This window comes from Homo sapiens, chromosome 4, assembly GCF_000001405.40.
Source record: "Homo sapiens chromosome 4, GRCh38.p14 Primary Assembly".
In the NCBI taxonomy this organism is placed as follows: Eukaryota; Metazoa; Chordata; class Mammalia; order Primates; family Hominidae; genus Homo; species Homo sapiens.
The window spans coordinates 3,386,241-3,405,033 of record NC_000004.12 but is presented as its reverse complement, the minus strand read 5'-3'; the positions used below and the strand labels follow the sequence as shown (position 1 = coordinate 3,405,033).

The following is an 18,793-nucleotide window of genomic DNA, read 5'->3' as shown; positions in this document are numbered from 1 at the left end:
CTCATACCCCATGAACACCTTTCTTTTTTGGAAGCTCAGTCCCTCCTTCAGGCTGGCACCTGTATCCTGCTCATGTGTCCTCATCATGCCTTAAGCACTGCCTTATTTTCTGGTGTGAAAAAAAATAAAAGCGAAGCTCCAGCTTCATCCTGTGTTTTTCCCACTCCAGCCCAGGAATTAGTCTTTGCTCCACAGAGCCTGACACCCTCTACAGAAAAGAGGTATAGACACCAAAATCTGGACATGCAGGTGCTCACTGCTACTGGGGTTTCCCTGCCTCCAGCCCCACCCTGGTGGACAGAGCTGGGAAATGTGGATGCACACGCACACACTGCTATGTCTATCTCTCCATCCACACATCCCTCTATTGAAAGCCATCGGTTCATACTGACGCCTCCAATGCCAACCCAACACCCTGAGCACATCCTCACCTCCTCTTCCATCTCTGTAACTCCCTGCTGGCAGTGGGGAACTGGCTCCCATGAGCTCTGATGTGTTTGTCCCTGTGCTCAAGCCTGGCACAAACAGAAAGCAGCTTAAGAACGACTGACCCACACCCCTGCACAGACAGACCTACTTACTCGCCCAGCTTAAAATCCTACCACCTACTGTTTAAAGCCTGCACTTGATCACCAAAGTGATTTTGTTTCCCTTTCGAAACAGCCAGGCCTCGTGAATACCTACCATGCAGTCACTACAGCGGCAAAATTCACTTTCACAGAAAATCCCCATGTGGAGACTTGTGCCTCAGGACAATCCTTCTGTCTCTGGCTGCCATGATGTGATTGATCACATGGCCTTGAGCATGTCTGTGCCTTGGTTTTCTCATGGAAGAGAACTAATCTTTGCAAGGCTTGGGGCAAGTGTAGACGAAGGAGCTTACACCATATATCTAAATGCTGGAAAATTGTAACAAAGGCTAACACATTGTTAAATAAGCTATATGCCATCTCGCTACCCTCCAACAACCTGGAAGGCCAGGTTTAATTTAGAATTCTGGAACCTAAGTTCTGCACAGAAGTGTGGTAGTGCAGGGAGGGCTGCCACAGCCCATAGCCCCCTCCTTACTCCCTTAGCTTCACCCCAGCCTCATACTGGGGTGTGAAATTTTGTATCCACATTTTGTCACATCACCCCACGTCAATAGCCCCCTTTGGGTCTCAGAGTATCTATTTCATTCCCCAGTTATCAACTGGAAGATGCTTTTCAAACTTAAAGCAATGAGGCCTTTCTTCCCAGAGAAATCTTACGGGAATCCCTGTGAGGGGCTGGCTTGCGGAGGAAGGAGGACATGTCGGGCAAGAACAGGTAGGGTAGGCTCAGGCCCCCTCTGCTTTAAGCAGCACAGGCTGCGGAGGCCGGCCCAGCTCTGCATCTCAACAAAAGCCTGCCACAACAGCAGAGCCTGCTGAGGGTTAGAAAACAGGGATCTGGAATAGCACCTCCTCAGAAAAGTGTTTACATGCTATCGATCTCAGTCAATCAGCCCATTTTACAGATGAAGCTGCTGAGGTCCAAAACATTCCATGACCTGCCTGGGCTGACATCAGTGACTATGCTGGGCCCAGACTCCACATTCTCCATGGTGAGGTCCCGGTATCCCCAGCAGCACTTTCTGGGCTGACCGTGAGTCTGGCCCCCACAGCCAGACCTCACAGCCCTGCAGAGGAGCTGCCACGCCTGGCAGGTCTCACGGACCCCTCGAGATATAGTGTACTTCCCGTTACCTCAGAGGGCCAGAAGAAATGTGGGCCCAAACAGGAGAAATCTGAATTCTGGGTCTTTCCTGGAGTCAGTACTAGAAACGTGTGATTTATAACTATTCTGGCAGAGCCCAGCAAAACAAACTCTCTACGTCTGAAGTGACACCAAGTCCTTCTGGAGAGTGAAATGCCAACAGGCGGGGGTGAAATGCTGCCAGAGCCCATGAGGCCATGCGAGTGAGCAGAGCGGCTCCTGCGAAGGTCAGTGTGGGAAGTGTTAGGCGATGTGCAAAGACGAGTGAATTATGTCACTTGTCACTCTGAATTTTTAGGATTCTAGGCTTAGAGCTACCAACTATGACCATAAGTAGTTGGTGAGGTCACATCTGACCACAGGGAGCCCTCAGGATGCTCCAAGAAAAGACACAGAACATTTTTCAAAGATCAACCCTAACTGACTTCATTTATTATGCTTACTTGAGCTGAAAAAACTTCACATTACTCATTTAGTGGTTAATTCCTTTGTGAAACTGACTTACTTCATTTTGATGAATAAAATATTTATACTTTGTAAAGACATTCTTCTTCTATTCTTGTGCCAGTGGCCACACAGGAAGTTCAGACCTTCTGGTTGTGGCTTGGCCCCACCAGAGGACACCACCCAACGCAGAGGACGCCACCCAACGCAGAGGACGCCACCCAATGCAGAAGCCCAGGGGCCCCAAATGCTGACCTCATGAGGAAGACTCAAAAGTGGTCCTAAACCCTTCCCTCAAGCCAAGGTGGGGCCACCCACACAGAAAACTGAAGACACAGTCCTGGGGACCTGTGCTTCCACTGAAAGAGTCCAGGGATAGAGAGGACGAAAGGGCACCCTACCCAGCAGGACTGAGGCCAGAGGACCAGGCTTCAGGGAAGGAGGAAGGGCCTGAGTGTGTAAAAGCATAAAGGATTTGTGACATTTAGAGGCCACCCCATAAGCCAAAAAGAGGTAACACAAGACACGGAAAAAAGGCCTACTCTACACATCAGGGGCAGATGGTGGATGCTCTCAGCCATGGTGGCCATATAAATGGTATTTGCTGGGACTGTGATGACTTCACATAATTTTAATAATAAATATAATATGTTAGATGTAAAACTAAGCATAATGCAATGTTTGTACCTTTTATATAACTTCTGATATCAAACAATCAAACTTAAAAAGTCATTTGTCCTAAACCGGGCTTCCAAAAATCTGGTCACCATGCTGGTCCCATGTCCACTGGCCCAGGGAGGTAGGCAGCGCTCACGGGCTCCAGGGCCTGCTGCCTGTGGTCTGGCCCCTTCCCAGGGGTGGAGCTGGGGCTCAGGGGGCCACCTCTGGAGACTGCTTCTCCTTGCTGACTGTGGAGAGGCTCTGCAAAGCCCTGGACTTTTACGCAGCAAGAGACGAGGCTAAGGCAGGGCTCTCCTCCATGGGGAACCCAGCCATTCTGCCCATTCTCTTCCTAAAACCGGGTGGGCAAGTTTAAGGTGAGCATGCGGTAAATGAGGCCACCGCCTCCTTCTCACGATTCACAGGTGCTGACGGGATGTCTGCTCTATGGCAAGCTGTATTCTAGGAGGTGGATCCTCAGCCTGGTGTTACCTAGTCCACAGTGTGCCGGTTCACGGCGTGGTTCCAGAGTCACACTGTTTGGATCTGACTCAGAGCTCCGCTCCTTCCTCACTGGGCAAGACACTCCCCCCGCTGTAAAACCGCAGTAAAAACCGTGCTCGGACTTCACAGGGACAGCGTGAGAACTCCCCTCCTCACCAAGTAACTTACGAGTTACTTAACTTTCCTATAAAGCTGGGATAATAACTATGCGTCTATGCTGACATGAAAGGAACACTGTGACAAACAGTGCGAGGCACATCCTAGGCATCCAATAACATCGTCTGACTAAGTGGATTGCTTGTCCCAAGTAACAGCTAATGAGAGACTACAGGCTGAAAGGGATATAAACTGACATTATAATGCATAATTCATAAAATATTTTCTTCCTTGAAAAAATGTAAATATAAATCTAAAATCCCTATTGGGCTTATCACCTAAAATTCTGGTCCTATACCCCCTCCCCAAAGATAATCCATCTTATTAATTTGGTGTTGGTCTGTCGAATTTTTAAAGCATTTTTACCAACATACATATGCTCCCATGGAAATCATGTGTTTTGCTTAGGAAAGCCGCCAGGGTTGATCTCACTGAACTCTGCCAGGTTTAAAAGTTGGACCTGGCCATGGGCTATGCTTTCGGTTTTGTATAATAGTTAGATAATAATATTATTTGTAAATGATGATTATCTTTTTTCTTCCCAAGTTTAATATTTTTTTCTTGCCATGTAGTGCTGGCCAGAATCTCAATACAATGTTAAAACAGTTGCTGAGATAGAGAACATCCTTGCCTATTCCTGGCTCTAATAGGAATTTTTCTAATATATATACTATTACTAATAGTATAATTATTATTATATGTATTCTATTAAGTATAACTTTGTAAAAAAGGAATGAGTGCTTTTTCTATTCATTATCATATATATTCTATTACTAATTATTAATACTAATGAGTATTACTAATGAGTATTACTAATACTAATAAGCAATTAGTATTACTAATACTAATACTAATTCTAATAGTAATACTAGCTAGTAGTTAGTATTACTAAAACTAATACTATTACTAATAGAATATATAATATATAATAATTAATAGAGTACATTCATGTATTCTATTAAGTATAACTTTTTAAAAAAGGAATGAGTGCTTTTTATCAGTAATTCTATTAGATGCTCCTTTGGCCTCCAGTGTGGTAATAATATGATTTTCGTCCTTTAATCTATTAATGTAACACAATCCGTTGTTTTGTTCACCAATGTATCCCTAGTTCCTAGAAGAGTTTTTTGAAGAAAAGTGAGAGCCCCACAAAAATCACTGTTGAATGAATGGTGGGATGAATGGAAAATTCCCTAAGGGTGAACTATCTTTGCATTTCTTGTGTAAACCAAACTTCACAAGGATGCATTAAAAAATGCTACTGGATTTGATTTGCTAATTATTTTATTTACAAACTTCTATATTTACTCATAAGTGAAACTGGCCAATAATTCAATTTTCCTGTGCCATCTTTCTCCAATATTGGTATCAGGAATATGCCAGTCTTGCAAACTGAGGTGAGAAGCTTCCCATCTTCTATGCCCTGTGTAAAGACAATATTAAGTTGGAAATGTTTGTTGCCCCCCCTTGTGGAAGATCATTCAAGCCCTGTGTACTGACGTCAGGCAAACCATGTGTTATGCTTTGGCCAATGAATGTGAAACAGTATGGCTGAGAGCCATGACCTGATTCTGCCCTGCCGTCTTTTCCCTCGGCCACAAGGCCTGCAGTGCCCCATTTAGGAAGCGCTCCAATAGCCTGGCTCCTGGAGGAAAACACTTAGAACAAAAACAAAGCCAAACTGCAGTAGGCATGTAATGTAGTGTAAGAAATGAACATCTGCTTTGTTAAACCCACCAGGATTTTTGGTGTTATTTGTTATTGCAATATTACTTAGCCTAAGCTGACTGATATACTCATCTGTATATTGGTTTGGGCATGGTGCCTATGGGGGTTTTGATCTTTGACTTCCAAATCATTTTTGCCTATGTTGATTTATCTAATCAGTTTCTACTTCTTCTTAGGCCAACTTTGATCATTTATATTTTCCTAAAGATTGTCCGGTTAATCAAATGTACAGTATAAAGTTGTTAATGGAATTGTCCTATAGTGTTACTTCTTAGTCTCTAACTGTACTTAGGACCTGTCTTTCATTCTTGATGTTATCTTTGTCCTCTTCCTCTTTTTCTTTTTTTGTAGAGATGGTGTTTTGTCCAGGCTGGTCTCAAATTCCTGGGCCCAAGTGATCCTCCTGCATCAGCCTCCCAAAGTGCTGAGATTACAGGCATAAGCCACTGTGCCTGGCCTCCCTCTTTTTCTTGATTATACTTTTGTTCATACTTTTAGTTGTATACTGTTTGGTTTTTTCTATTTTGATAATTTCTGCATTTATCTTCATTTCCTTAATTTGCATTTCCTTTTTTCCGTACTTGCTTCTGTTGAAAACTTATTTCCTATATTTTCAAACTTTTTTCTAATATATACATTTAATGCTACAATTTTTTCACTGAAAATCACTTTGATTATATTCTACTGGTGATGATGTGTAGTATAGAACCATAAATGGTTCTAAACTGTATGATAACTCCCATTTTAATTTCTTCCTTGACCCATGGATTATTTAGAAGTATGGTTTTAAACTTTAAAATGTATGAATTCTTTTTTGTTATCATTTTATGATCGACTTCTATTCAAATACACTGCTGTCAGGAGCTATTCTCTGTATGCTATAATTTTTTTAAATTTGTAGCAACTGCATGTGTGGCATATTGTATGCCACAACTTTAGTAAATGTTCCACGTACTTTAGAAAAAAAGTGTATTTTCCATTTGGTACAAAGCTCTCTATGTGTCTGTTAGATTTAATTTGCTCATTTTTCCATTCACATACTTTGTAATCTTACTATTTTTTTTTTTCAGCTTGATCTCTTGGTTTCTGAAAAAGGTGTGTAATAATTCCCCCTCGGAGTACTTACCCATGTTGATACCGTGCCATTTACTTCTGTTCTGCAAATCTCATGCTACTTTTGGTGCACACTGTCTTTTTTGTTCTTTTTATTGCTTTTTCACTTTGTCTGATATTAATATTGTTATGCCACTTCTCTTTTTTCTTAATATTGCTTGTTATATCCTCTCATTTAGTTGTTTTCAAACTTTTGTCACTTATTGTTGTTTGTTTGTTTGTTTTCAGAAGGAGTCAAACTATATTGCCCAGGCTGGTCTCAAACTTTTGGCCTCAAGTGAGCCTCCTGCCTCAGCTTCCCAAGCATTCCCTATAATCCACAGCTAGGATTATAGGTGTGCACCACCGTGCCTGGTTCAACATCGCTTATTTTAAAATTGGGTTTTTAACAATCAAAGTGGAGAGTTTTTCTCCTCTGATGCTCTTTCTCTTGTTGATCTTGTAAGCTTCTTCAGGACCTCCTGGCTTATTTTCTCTACCCAGTCCCTCTAAATAATTTTATTCACTTCCAGTGGTCAATTATATTGAAAATGCAATTAAAATGCCATTACAAATAATGGCAGTTATCATTTATATAACTCCTTATAATGTACCAGGTATTGTCCGATGTACTTCACATATATTAAATCATTTACTTCCTGTAAGAAGTCTGTAAGTAATGGGTCCTACTATTATTCCATTTTACAGATGAGAGAAATGAGACCCACAGCTAGGAAGTAGCAGAATTAGGATGTAAACCTAAATAATTTGGCTCCAGAGGCCATACTCTTAATTGTTCTATGTCCTATTGCCTCTCAAACCACATCTTCAGCATCTTCTGGTTTCCCATGTGTCTTATGGGTTTGAGACTCGCCTTTTCTGCATGATCTATAATTACTCAAGTTTACCAAGCCAATGAGTTTCATTGAAACGCTGATGACTCCCAAATTTCTATTTTCAAGCCCAACCACTTTTCTGCATTCTGTACTCATTTATCCAACTGTCTACACAATATCTCCAGTAGATTTTGAATAAACATCTCAAAAATCCCATGTCCAAAGCAGAATTCTTGGTTATCACCCCCCTATCTGCTCCTCCCACCCTAGTCTTCCCCATCTCTGCAAACACCCTCATCCTCCGAGCTGCCTGAGGCAAAACCCTGAGGTTAGTCTTGGGACCCCTCTCACGTCGTTCCACTGCTCCTCCCATGGACATGTGCACACACGACTACTCTCTCTTGGGTTCCTCGCGACCCCCTGGCTGCCATCTCAGCTTTTTCCTGGTTCTTCCTGTCTTCCCAAACTCATATGAGGGTTAATCCTCACCCATCTGTCAGGTCTCAGCTCTGCTCGGCCATCCTGACCACAGGGTGGGCTCTGGCCCGGCCACGCACTTGCACAGCTCCTTCTTCTTCTATCGCAGCCAGTGTGGCATCCCACCACAGCCCACCTCGGCACCCAGAGGCACACAGGGGCTTCCCACTGGCTTCTCTGATGCAACCAGTCCCTTTTTTCTCAAGTCCTTGCAAGGTCTTGTGTGTCCCAGGCTGCTCCCTCACCTTCTTTCGAGCAAGAGTCTATTTGAGGGTGATGCATTAGCCTGAAATCATCTCCATTAATGCTGGTGTTAGATACTTATAGAGGTCATTCATCCAGAAGAGATGGTTTTTTAAAAGGCAAACCAAGCCAGATTTAGTATTTATTCCTGGGAGGAATGGTCTCAAGACTTTGAGAGCAAGAATGAGTAACTACATATTGAAGATCACATATGTATAATTACAGCAATTAAAAAAAAAAAACCCCAATTGTCCAAATGTCAATGGCTGCATGTGGCTTGTGATAACATTTCCAGGAAAAGCATCAACACAGATTCCAGAAATGCTATGTCTCAACCAGCTTGGACAAAAGTGAAGATGACTCTGGAAAGCTGCCAGTGACTTGAAAATTGCCTCCAAAATATATAAGGAAATGCAAGGGCCAGGAATAACCAAGGCAATCTTAAAGACAAGCAAAATGAAGACTATAGCACTAGATATCCAAATGCCAGGGACGAGAATTACGACATGAAGTCCTGATCCAATGATAGACAAACAGACCAATGGAACAGAATACAGAGGCCAGAAACAGACCCACAAATATATGATTACCTGATACAGGTGTTGCTTCAAGTTATTGGGAAGGATTGTCTTTTCATTACATGGAGCTGGGACAACTGAATACCATGTAGAAAAAATGAATCTTACCCCTACCTCACACCATAGACAAAAATACCAATTCCAGATGAATCAGAGATTTAAATATTGAAGATAAAACAAAACAGATTTACTTTCATGGTCTTGGGAAGGGCAAAGCCTGCTCTAAAGGGACATAAGCATTACCCTAAGGGGAAAAATGATAAACTGGATTATATTAAGAACTTTCAGTCATCACAAGATACCACTAAGAGAATGAACAGGTAAGGTATAGAAAGGCTTAACTACATACATAAATCTATCACAAACACATAAATCCAAAACACAAGGTATATCTAATACAGCCAGCCCTCCGCACCCACAGTTCTGCATCCACAGATTCAACCAACTGTGGATGGAAAATATTTGGGAAAATATTTGGAAAAAAAATTAATGGAAAAAAAATAACAATACAACAAAAAATACAAATAAAAACAATATAGTATAACAACTGTTTACATACCATTTACATTGTATTAGCTGTTATCAGTAATCTAGAAATGATTTAAAGTACCCAGGAAGGTATGGGTAGGTTATATGCAAACGCTACACCATTTTATATCAGGGACTCAAGTATCTGCAGATTTTGGTATCCTCAAGGGGTCTTGGAACCAATTCCCTAGAGACACTAAGGGAAAACTATACGTAAATCCACCATAAAATCATTTCCAGAATATATTTTTAAAATATTCTATAAATCAATAAGGAAAGGCAGATAACCTAACAGAAAAATAAGCAAAAGTCTTGAACAAGCACTTCACAAAATAAGATATTCAAAGGGCCAAAAATATATGAAAAGGTGATCAATTCATAGTCATCAGGGGACTGAGAACTAAAACTATTAATACAATTAAAGCCCTATGTATGTGGCTACAGGGAAAGTGTTGAGAGGATGTTGAACACCTAGAATTCTTATATACTGCTAGTCAATGTGGACACTGTAAAAATCATTTGGAAATTGGCAGTATTTACTATAGGTGAATATATACAAACCCCCAGCCTATCAGAGCAGAAATGTATGCAGATGCCCACCCAAAAGACCTGTACAAGCATGTTATATGGCACCATCTGTAACGGCCAAAAGTCAGAACCAACACGATGTCATCAAGAGAAGAATGGAGGAACGATGCCATATTTGCACCATGGACAGTCCACAGCTAGGAGAGTAAACAGCTCCTGATAGACTCACAGGAGCAAAATGCACCATCCTATGTTAAATAAAGGAAGCTAGACACTAAACAGCATACGCTGCGTTGAGTCTTTTTTTTTTTTTTTAGATGGACTCTCACTCTGTTACCCAGGCTGGAGTGCAGTGGCGCAAACTCTGCTCACTGCAACCTCTGCCTACTATAACCTTCACCTCCCAGGTTCAAGAGATTCTCCTGCCTCAGCTACCCTAGTAGCTGGGATTACAGGCATGCGCCACCACATCCAGCTAATGTTTTTTTTTGTTTTGTTTTGTTTTTTTGTATTTTTGGTAGAGACGGGGTTTTGCCATATTGGCCAGGCTGGTCTTGAACTCTTGGCCTCAAGGAATCCACCTGTCTCGGCCTCCCAAAGTGCTGGGATTACAGATGTGAACCACTGTGCCCAGTCAGTCTTCTTTTTTTTTTAAGTTTGAAAACAGGCAACAGCCGTCGGGTGAGAGGTCCCTTCCGGAGCTGGTGACTGAGGGCCTGCAGGGGCGCTTGGGCTGCTGGTAATGTTCTGTCTCTTGGTCTGAGTGCTGATAACACACATGTGTTCATTCTGTGAAAATCTCTCAAATTGCTTATTGATCATGTATGTACCTTTCAGCGTGTAAGCTATTCTTCAATAAAAAGTTTTCATTACTTGAAAAACAATTGCAACAAAAATGCATCTGAAGTGTTTAAATAGTGTCACGAAATGTGAGCAGAATAGAGCCACCTTTCTACATCAGTATCATTTAATATAAAATGCAATTCCTAATAGAGTATTCTCATTAGATATTTGTTACCTACATTCCTTTCTAGATTTGTTATTTACATTTCACATATTCGGCTGAGCATGGTAGCTCACGCCTGTAATCCCACCACTTTGGGAGGCCAAGGTGGGTCTATCACCTGAGGTCAGGAGTTCGAGACCAGCCTGGGCAACATGGTGAAACACCATCTCTACTAAAAATACAAAAATTAGCCAGGCGTGGTGGTGTACATCTGCAATACCAGCTACTTGAGAGACTGAGGCACAAGAATCACTTGAACCCAAGAGGCAGAGGTTGTAGTGAGTCAAGATTGCACCACTGTACTCTAGCCTGGGTGACAGAGCGAGACTCTGTCTCAAAAAAGAAAAAAAAAAAAGATGTGCTGAAGGAGCAGACGGATGAAATGCCGTGGAAGGGCACCACGTTCAGAGAGATGCCGGCAGGAAGGGTCAGTCGCAGGTGCTCTGAGGGCCGGGCAGAGGCTTGGTCTCTGCACTTCACCTAGGGAGCCAGCCAGGCCAAGTCCAACCTGGGCTGGGCAGCTTCCTCCCCAAATTCCAGCCATTTCCCCATAGACCCAGCATGGTGCTGGCCTCAGATGCTCCAGGGACGGGCCTGGGGAGAGGAGAACCTGCTCTTTCTGGGTTGTGAGGCAGCTTTTGGGAAATCAGTGAAGCTCTTTGTACAAGGTGCCGTCATGACCTGAGTTTTGTTCTGAACTTTACAGACCACATCCCACAAGTAAGGTGAAAAAAATTATATCACAGAACTCTATCTGCCGTGGGAGAGCACCTGGGACAGGCCTTCCCCTCCTGCCAGACAGTAGAATAGTAGACAAAATACGCAGAGCATCAGAACCTGCGGGAAAAGACAGAAAAAAGAAAAGCAAAATATGCGAAGCAACAGTTCCCAAAATTGGACCACAGTCACCAGAAGGGGTGTAATTCCTGATGAAAAAATTAATAAGGTGAGCCCTGTGACCACCCAGAGCTGTCAGCCCAGAGGCACTCCATGAACCACAGCACAAGGTGGGGCCCAGGTAGAACCACCGTCCAGAGCTGAGGAGACAGGTCAGAATCGGGGAAGGCCAGGGTGGCTGGAGCTGCAGGTGCAGGAGAGACCTAGCAGGGAAAGTGCCCAGGGACCTCACAGGAGCCTCCACCTGTGGCTGAGTTCTAAGCTGTGCATGCACAGCCGAGACCCCACGAGGCAGGCAAAGATCAGCCGGGGGCTGCGGCGGGAACAGCTGCCAGAACTCACACAGGGTCAGGGGGTTCCCGAGTTCCAGCCAGTTCTGGGTGAATCCCCAGCTTTTAGAGGAGTCCCCAAATGTAGCTTTACAAACCTCTGTATTTTTTAAAGGAAGGCAACAAAATTCAGCACTCAGTCAAGAACTGCCAGACAAATGAATACTCAGAAAAATGTAACCCATAACCAGGAGAAAAGTCAGTCAATAAAGGGACCCAGAAAGACAGAGATGATAGCACTGGCATCTAAGGGCTTTACATGTCTTATAAATATACAAACATTTTGGGGTTTTTTGTTTTTGTTTTGAGACAGTCTCACTCTGCCCCCAGGCTGGAGTGCAGTGGCACCATCTCAGCTCACTACAACCTCTGCCTCCTGAGTTCAAGAGATTCTCCTGCCTCAGCCTCCCGAGTAGCTGGGATTACAGGCATCTGCCACCATGCCCAGCTATTTTTATATTTTTATTAGACACGGGGTTTCACCATGTTGGCCGGGGTGGTCTTGAACTCCTGACCTCAGCTGATCCGCCCACCTCAGCCTCCCAAAGTGCTGGGATTACAGGCATGAACCACTGCACCCAGCCAACATTTTTGGGGTTTTAAAGCAAAGCGTGAAGAGAATCAGTAGAAAGAAATGAAAAAAATAGAAGGAACTGCTAAAGATGAAAACACAGTCTCTGAGATGACAGGCTGATCGGCAGGAATTCCCTCACAGGAGGGAATGAGCTGTATATCTGACACTAAAATGACAGATCAGTGAACTGCAGGATAGAGCAAGAGAAACAATGAAATGGCAAGCATGCAGGCGACACAGAAGCCTGAACATGAAACGGCCTCCATGAGCTGAAGGGAAAACCAGGTGGCCTAACATGCTTGCATAATTAGAGTCTCAAAAGTGGGAAACAATGAAAAAAATACCTGAACCCCAACAAATCCCAAACACAACAGACACAGAAAAACCAACCTGAGACTCATCATAATCAAATTGCTGAAAACCGACAATAAGGAGAAAGTCTTAAAAGCTTTCTGTTAGGTGGTATGCCCAGAGGGGATCTCTTCCCACAGTCTATCTAGCCTGGGGGTAGGGGAAGGATCTTCCTCAACTGCATAAAACTGCACAGGTCCTGTCCCTGAGAAAAGCCCTTGAGCTCTCCCCACACTCAGGATCTACTTCTAGACCTTTTCCTTAAATCATTTTGGCCAATCTGATTTTCAATCCAATCTACATAATGCTTTCTTTCTGCAAACTTCATACATACTCTCCTGAGAGCAAATCTATTAACATTTTCAGACCATTTTGAAAGTCCTTAGGTTAAAAGTTCCAGAAATTTAAAATATTAATTATTTTAGTAAACTATTAAGATATACAGAAAAGTGCACAGATTATGAGCATATGGCTTGGTGGAGTTTTGCAGGTGAACATCCTCCCAGACCGAGAAGCTGAGCAGGAGGAGCTTCCCTGGAGCACCCAGGCAGCCCTCTCTGACGCCCCCAAACACCCCAGGCAGCCCTCTCTGGTGAGGCCCCCAAACACCCCAGGCAGCCCTCTCTGACGAGGCCCCCAAACACGCCAGGCAGCCCTCTCTGACATGGCCTCCAGACCACCAAACAGGGCGGACACTGCTTCTCACGCCTAGGGTTGCATGAGAGGAGTTCTTCGTTTGTTTTATCTTTTCCCCAAGAATCTAACTAAGAAACTCCCTTGGAGTGGGAAGGGGTGGCGCCTGCTTCCAAGTGTGGCCTCTGGGGAGGGGATGCAGCCGCAGGGGCACCAAGGGCTTCTGTGGTCACCCCAGCCCTGAGTCAATTCTCAGGCACAGGCCCCCTGGCTAGCACACGTTAACTCTGGAAGATAGGTATGCAGTTAGTGGTTTTATTACCTTTGAATTTGTTTGCTTGAAAAAATAATTTCACAATATTAAAAACTAGTAATAAAAACTCTCCAAATATCTTGTAGAATTGGAAAGAAACAAGTACATCGGAAGGCATCCTGGCAGAAATCAAGTCTCCACACTTCCAAAACTGAAAATCTCCAGTCTGACTCCTGTTTACAAATACTAATACGGTATTCCACACCCTACAAATACACTGTGTGATTCTGAGCATCATTTTGAAGTCCAAAAGCAAACCAAAAGAATGTGACATATTAAATCAAGTAAAGGGTTCTGGTTAAAACAACCACTCCCACAATAGCGCATTACAAATTAACATTCTGTTTCTGCTATTTAGCAAACATTTTTGGAAAATGTGCAATTAGGCTGCACTGTTTTTCTGATGAGGAAAATGTAAATTTATCAACTAATTCTATGTAAGTACTGATGGTTCTACTCTCAAGCTTTTCCCTTTCTCTTTCAAAATTGTATAGAATACAAATTTTGGCATTTGCCAAAAATATCAACAATTATACTTTATATTTTAAAGAGGAATGCAGTTTAAAGTCCCCCAAGTTAATCCGGCAATTACGGTAACCCTCCCCCATCAGGCAGCCGTTTGTGACAGCTCCCCAGGCCTCAGTGCCTGTTCGCTAACAAGGACCGGCGAGATGAAGACACAAGGCTAGGAGAGAGAAAGTGACTTGCCCCAAGAGATCGGCCTGTCAGCTGTGGAGCTGCAGGTGGAGCCCGAATCTTCCGCCATGGCCAGGTCTGAGCTCCAAAGGCCCGCGTGTTGGGTGAAGGCACTGGAAGAGCCTGGCAGGCGCGCAGAGCAGCCCAGGAGGAGGCGGCGGCAGTGGGTCCACCCCGCAACACCAGTCACACAGGAGTTTCTGCTTCTGTGCTTGTGTGTGCTTTTTGAGAAGGTTTCACGACTAAAAGGAAAATCACTGAAAGCCACTGTCCCCGCCCAAGCCTCGCCCTGACGCTCTGGCTGATGTCTGCTGAACACCCGATCATTCACTCAACAGACAGCTCTCGTGCCAGCCGCTGTGCCGGGTGCCGGGACAACTCTGACCTGCCACGTGGAGGTCACACCAGCTGGGGGGACAAAAGCACCAACACAGATGAATAATTAAAATGATGGAAGCTGCCCCTAGCACGGGCAGGAAATTGACAGTGGCCATCGCTCAGGATGGGGGCAGGTGGTCAGGAAGGGAAGAGGGAAACCGCATGTGCCTGAGGCACCATTGGAGACCAGGGTGGGACGCAGGATGGTTGGGGGAACAGGGGCTCTGAGCTGGTGGAGGGGTCCAGTGCAGGGGCTGGGCAGATCACTGCTGCTGCTGTGGGGGCAACCACCAGCGTTCAGGAGAAGGGAGCGGGAGGATGGCTGCAGAGACAGGGCCAAGACTGAGGTCTGCATGGAGGACGAGTAGGGGGGCAGCTGAGTGGACAGAGTGGGGTCAGGGCAGAGCTGAGGCACAAGGCATGAGGAGGACATGGGGATGGAGGACTGCGACTAGTACGTGTCGGGGGTCCCCAGGGTGAGGCTGCGAGAACGGAGTGTTTGAGAAGCAGCTGGAGCACCGGGGTCATGTATGTGGGGTGTCATGTGGACCTGCCACCGTCCCCCAAAGCCAGAGCCGCACAGTTCCCCGGCTTTCCTGCTGGCACAGACGCCGTACGCAGGAGGAGGTGGGCGCTCTGGGAGCTCCCCGATAGTCTCCACACCCCGACTTCAGAAGGTGAGGTGGTCACAGCGGGAACATCCACCTGTGGAGGCTGCAGTGGGTGAGGGGATTCTGGCAGGCCTCTTGGCACAGAGCTTGACCAACGGAGGAAGCCACAAGAACGGGCTTCTGTGCGGCCGCGGCTCCAGCTCTGTGCAGAGCCAGACCAGGAGAGGTGAGAGGTTCCTTTTTCCAGGAGCAACCGGGCATCTTCCTTTTCTCATTTCTTCACAACGCCCCATCTCCCTCCAGCTCGACCTCACACTTCTGTCTGAATAACTTCCCACAAGGCAGACCATTCCCCTGCTAAGCCTCTCTATAATGCTAGAATGTGCTTCCTTCTCTCCAGCTGGAATCTGCTCCCTGCCCCCACCCACAGCCCTGCCGTGCCCCCCAGAGACCAGCTGTAACCCTTTTTCCCGAGGGCACTCTTTGGCTACAAACGGGTGGCCATTATCAGCCCCTTTCTTCTGAAAAAGTGAAAAAACACACTCCAACTTGACAAAGATTGCCAAAATAGCATAGTCCAACTTCCTTAAAACCGAGCCACAAAACTAAAACTCTCCAGCGAGAGCCTAAGCTATAAAAGCACGATACGCGTCACAGAATGAAACCGTGGCATGAACACGAACTCTCTCACTGGCACGGCTCGTTGAACACAAAATATTTCTAAGTGAGTGATCTATTAATCACCAAAACTAGACAGGATGACCAGGCAGAGACAGCCCAGCTGAGCAGATTGCTCCCCAAGCCAACTCCTCAGTCCCTCCTTGGAACTCGGGGAGCATTTTTCCCATAAAAACACTGGGGTGCTGGAGTTCCCAGGCCCACCTCAGTGCACTGAGTCTCCCACTGACCACAGCCTATAAAAAGATCTCTGTGTGGAAACACAGCCAGAGTTTCCCTGGGACCACCCCCCCACCCCGACCCCGCCCAGGCTCCTGTCACTGCCGTGGAGGGCAGGGTGTGGGGGAGGGGGCCTCTTTCTGCCTGAGGCACCAGAAGGGGCAGCAGGGGCTGCAGGCGCTGGAGGGTCCAGGGCTGGAGCGGGGGACTCTCCAGGACCATGGGGCTGGGCGTGTGGAGGCCCAGGGCTGGGGGGTGGGTGGGAGCCAGGGTGGAGGGGCCTCTCAGCCAGGGCTTTCCCCTGCAGGCCTGAGTCTGGCCATCTCACCTGCAGACTACTGTGAGCTGCTGGATCTCCCCACTCTGCCTCGGTGCCCTACATCTAACAACGGCAGAATGTGACACCGATCTAGAGCTCATGTGCACATTAAACAAGATAACTGGCTCTTTTTACTCTTATAAGCAAAGAAACTGAAGATGGAAAAATAACAAAAACACAAAAAGGAACTAAATAAACATCCAGCCCGCCCACTGCGGTTCCTGAAATTCAGGGTGTGCTGATGACTGTCTCCTCCCTCCCGTCTCCTCCTCCCTCCCGTCTCCTCCTCCCTCCCGTCTCCTCCTCCCTCCCGTCTCCTCCTCTGTGACTGGGGCTCTCCATGGAGGGACGGGCCTGTCCCAGTGGCCCCAGGGTCTGACACTGGGAAAAGAAGGAGGAGCAGGGGGTGGAAAGCCCTAGCACCAGGGGATCTCTGCGTGGCCAGGATACACTTCCTCAGAGGGACACACAGAGCCAGCGTGGCGAGGAGCCAGGACACACTTCCTCAGAGGGACACACAGAGCCAGCACGGCGAGGAGCTAGAGACTTCCCACCCTTGGGAGGTGCAGGTTTTTAAACAACTGTAAAATGGACACATAACACAACTCTGGGTTCCTGCATCTATTGCTGACAGAAGCAATCTTTTGGAGGCAAATAAAACTTATTATATATGGTGAAACTAAACATATTAGGCAAATCTTTCATGTATAAATTGCCTGCAAGAAATGAATGTCTTCTGCCAGAAAGGAGAAGTGAGAACACGGCAGAAAGAGAAAGCATGAACAGATCATTCAAAACACCGGTCACTTTATCCTGGATTTGGTTCCGGGTCCTGTTTCTTTTCATTAAGGAAGTTTATCCTCCCTCCACCTTAAGACTGATTAAATGACATGATTTTCATTGTACATAAAATAGGAAATAGAATTCCTTTTATTCTACAAAATACATCTCCACCACACGAGTGTCGGGATCCCTCTGGTCTCGGCTTCAGGTGCCAGTGCGTGTGTAACCCAAGATATGCTCCTCCTCCTACAGAGCCGCTGGCCCACAAGGGCTCTGAGCTCTGTCTGCCCACCTGGGGTCCTCCTGGCCTTCCTACAGAGTGGCTGGCCTGCGAGGGCTCTGAGCTCTGTCTGCCTACCTGGGGACAGCAGCCCTTTCCGAGGCCGAGGACTGAGGCCAGCAGCTGCAGGACCACAGAAAGTGAGAGAACGACATTTGGTTTCTCTTTAACGCACAAATACAGTGGCACCTCAAACCCACCGGCCCCTGGGCAGCTTCTGCAGCACAGCCTGTGCCTCAGCCCATCCCTGGCCCACAGCGATGCCAGGTGCACCTATTCCAGCTCTCAGGGACAGAAGTGGGGACAAAAGCGTGAGGTGACGATGAAACCCGAGAGCCTGCGGACTGTCAGGAGTGTTAGAAGAAAAGAGGAATATTTCGGAGGAACTCTCCTTACTTTGGAGAGGTTTTTTTAAATCATTGAACCAAAATGATAAGGATGACATCAGAGAAATCTTCAGTGAAATAAGACATTCCTGCCTACTTCCTTTTCAATCAGTCCATGAAAAGAATCCCTGTGCACAAAATTCTTTAAACACAGAAAGTAAGTTTTTGATTCCTCTTCATCCCACACTCTCAATTCGTCTATTATACTTTTCTTGAGAAAATTCTGGGTCTCACCCAAATTTCCTGAATTGCTCAAATTCAGAAAGCACTTTGAAATCTTAACTTGCTGGTTTAAAAGCTGGTTATACAACAAGGGAAGAGCAAAAACACGTTTTAACTTGTCAGACACAGGCAGGCGGGTGGGTGCACTCCTCAGACACACAGCGCTCTATCACACTGGTGTTCAGGGCCATGGCAGTTCTCTTAACAAACAGCTTCCAAAACACACGCCGAGGCCACCTGGGTGTCACAGAAAGCGCCCCCAGAATTAACTCACCTAGAACCCGCCCACAAGGAGACAGGGAAAGGCAAACAACCCGTCCTTCCTGAGGGCATCAAATGGCAAATACACTTTCACAATTTGAAAACTTTATGAAAAATAAAAAATATATACATCAGAAATTGTGACTTACCGCCATCAGACACAGTTGCAGACTGAAAGAAAAGAGAGAGAGACATGAGTTAATTAAGCCTCATGACAAAACTCCAGGAAACGAAAAGTCCATCTGAGGAACACAAGGGGCAGACTCTGGGAGGTTCTCAGAGGCACTCTCCAGGTGGAGGTGTCCCGGGAAAGCCAGACGGCCCAATGAGTCAAGAGTCACGGCTC

The 18,793-nt window shown here is 45.7% G+C and overlaps 1 protein-coding gene across 19 annotated transcripts in view, besides 2 other annotated features; it reads right to left on the bottom strand.

Moving 5' to 3' along the window:
- RGS12 (regulator of G protein signaling 12) overlaps positions 1 to 18,793 on the bottom strand; it is a 154,023-nt gene that overhangs the window by 34,880 nt on the left and 100,350 nt on the right. For 18 of the 19 annotated variants that reach the window (NM_001394155.1, NM_001394154.1, XM_011513543.3 and 15 more), the window contains one exon: positions 18,597 to 18,618. The exons of the other annotated variant lie outside the window; for it this stretch is intronic. In NM_001394155.1, the coding sequence (NP_001381084.1) occupies positions 18,597 to 18,618 (22 nt within the window). The remainder of the gene's footprint in view (positions 1 to 18,596; positions 18,619 to 18,793) is intronic. 19 annotated transcript variants of the gene reach the window in all.
- Positions 15,965 to 16,114: an enhancer, noted in NCBI's record as "active region_21224". NCBI's record gives its function as "activates an Ori minimal core promoter by ATAC-STARR-seq in GM12878 lymphoblastoid cells {active_cell/tissue: GM12878}" and the evidence as "EXISTENCE:reporter gene assay evidence [ECO:0000049][PMID:35858748]".
- Positions 16,805 to 17,074: an enhancer, noted in NCBI's record as "active region_21223". NCBI's record gives its function as "activates an Ori minimal core promoter by ATAC-STARR-seq in GM12878 lymphoblastoid cells {active_cell/tissue: GM12878}" and the evidence as "EXISTENCE:reporter gene assay evidence [ECO:0000049][PMID:35858748]".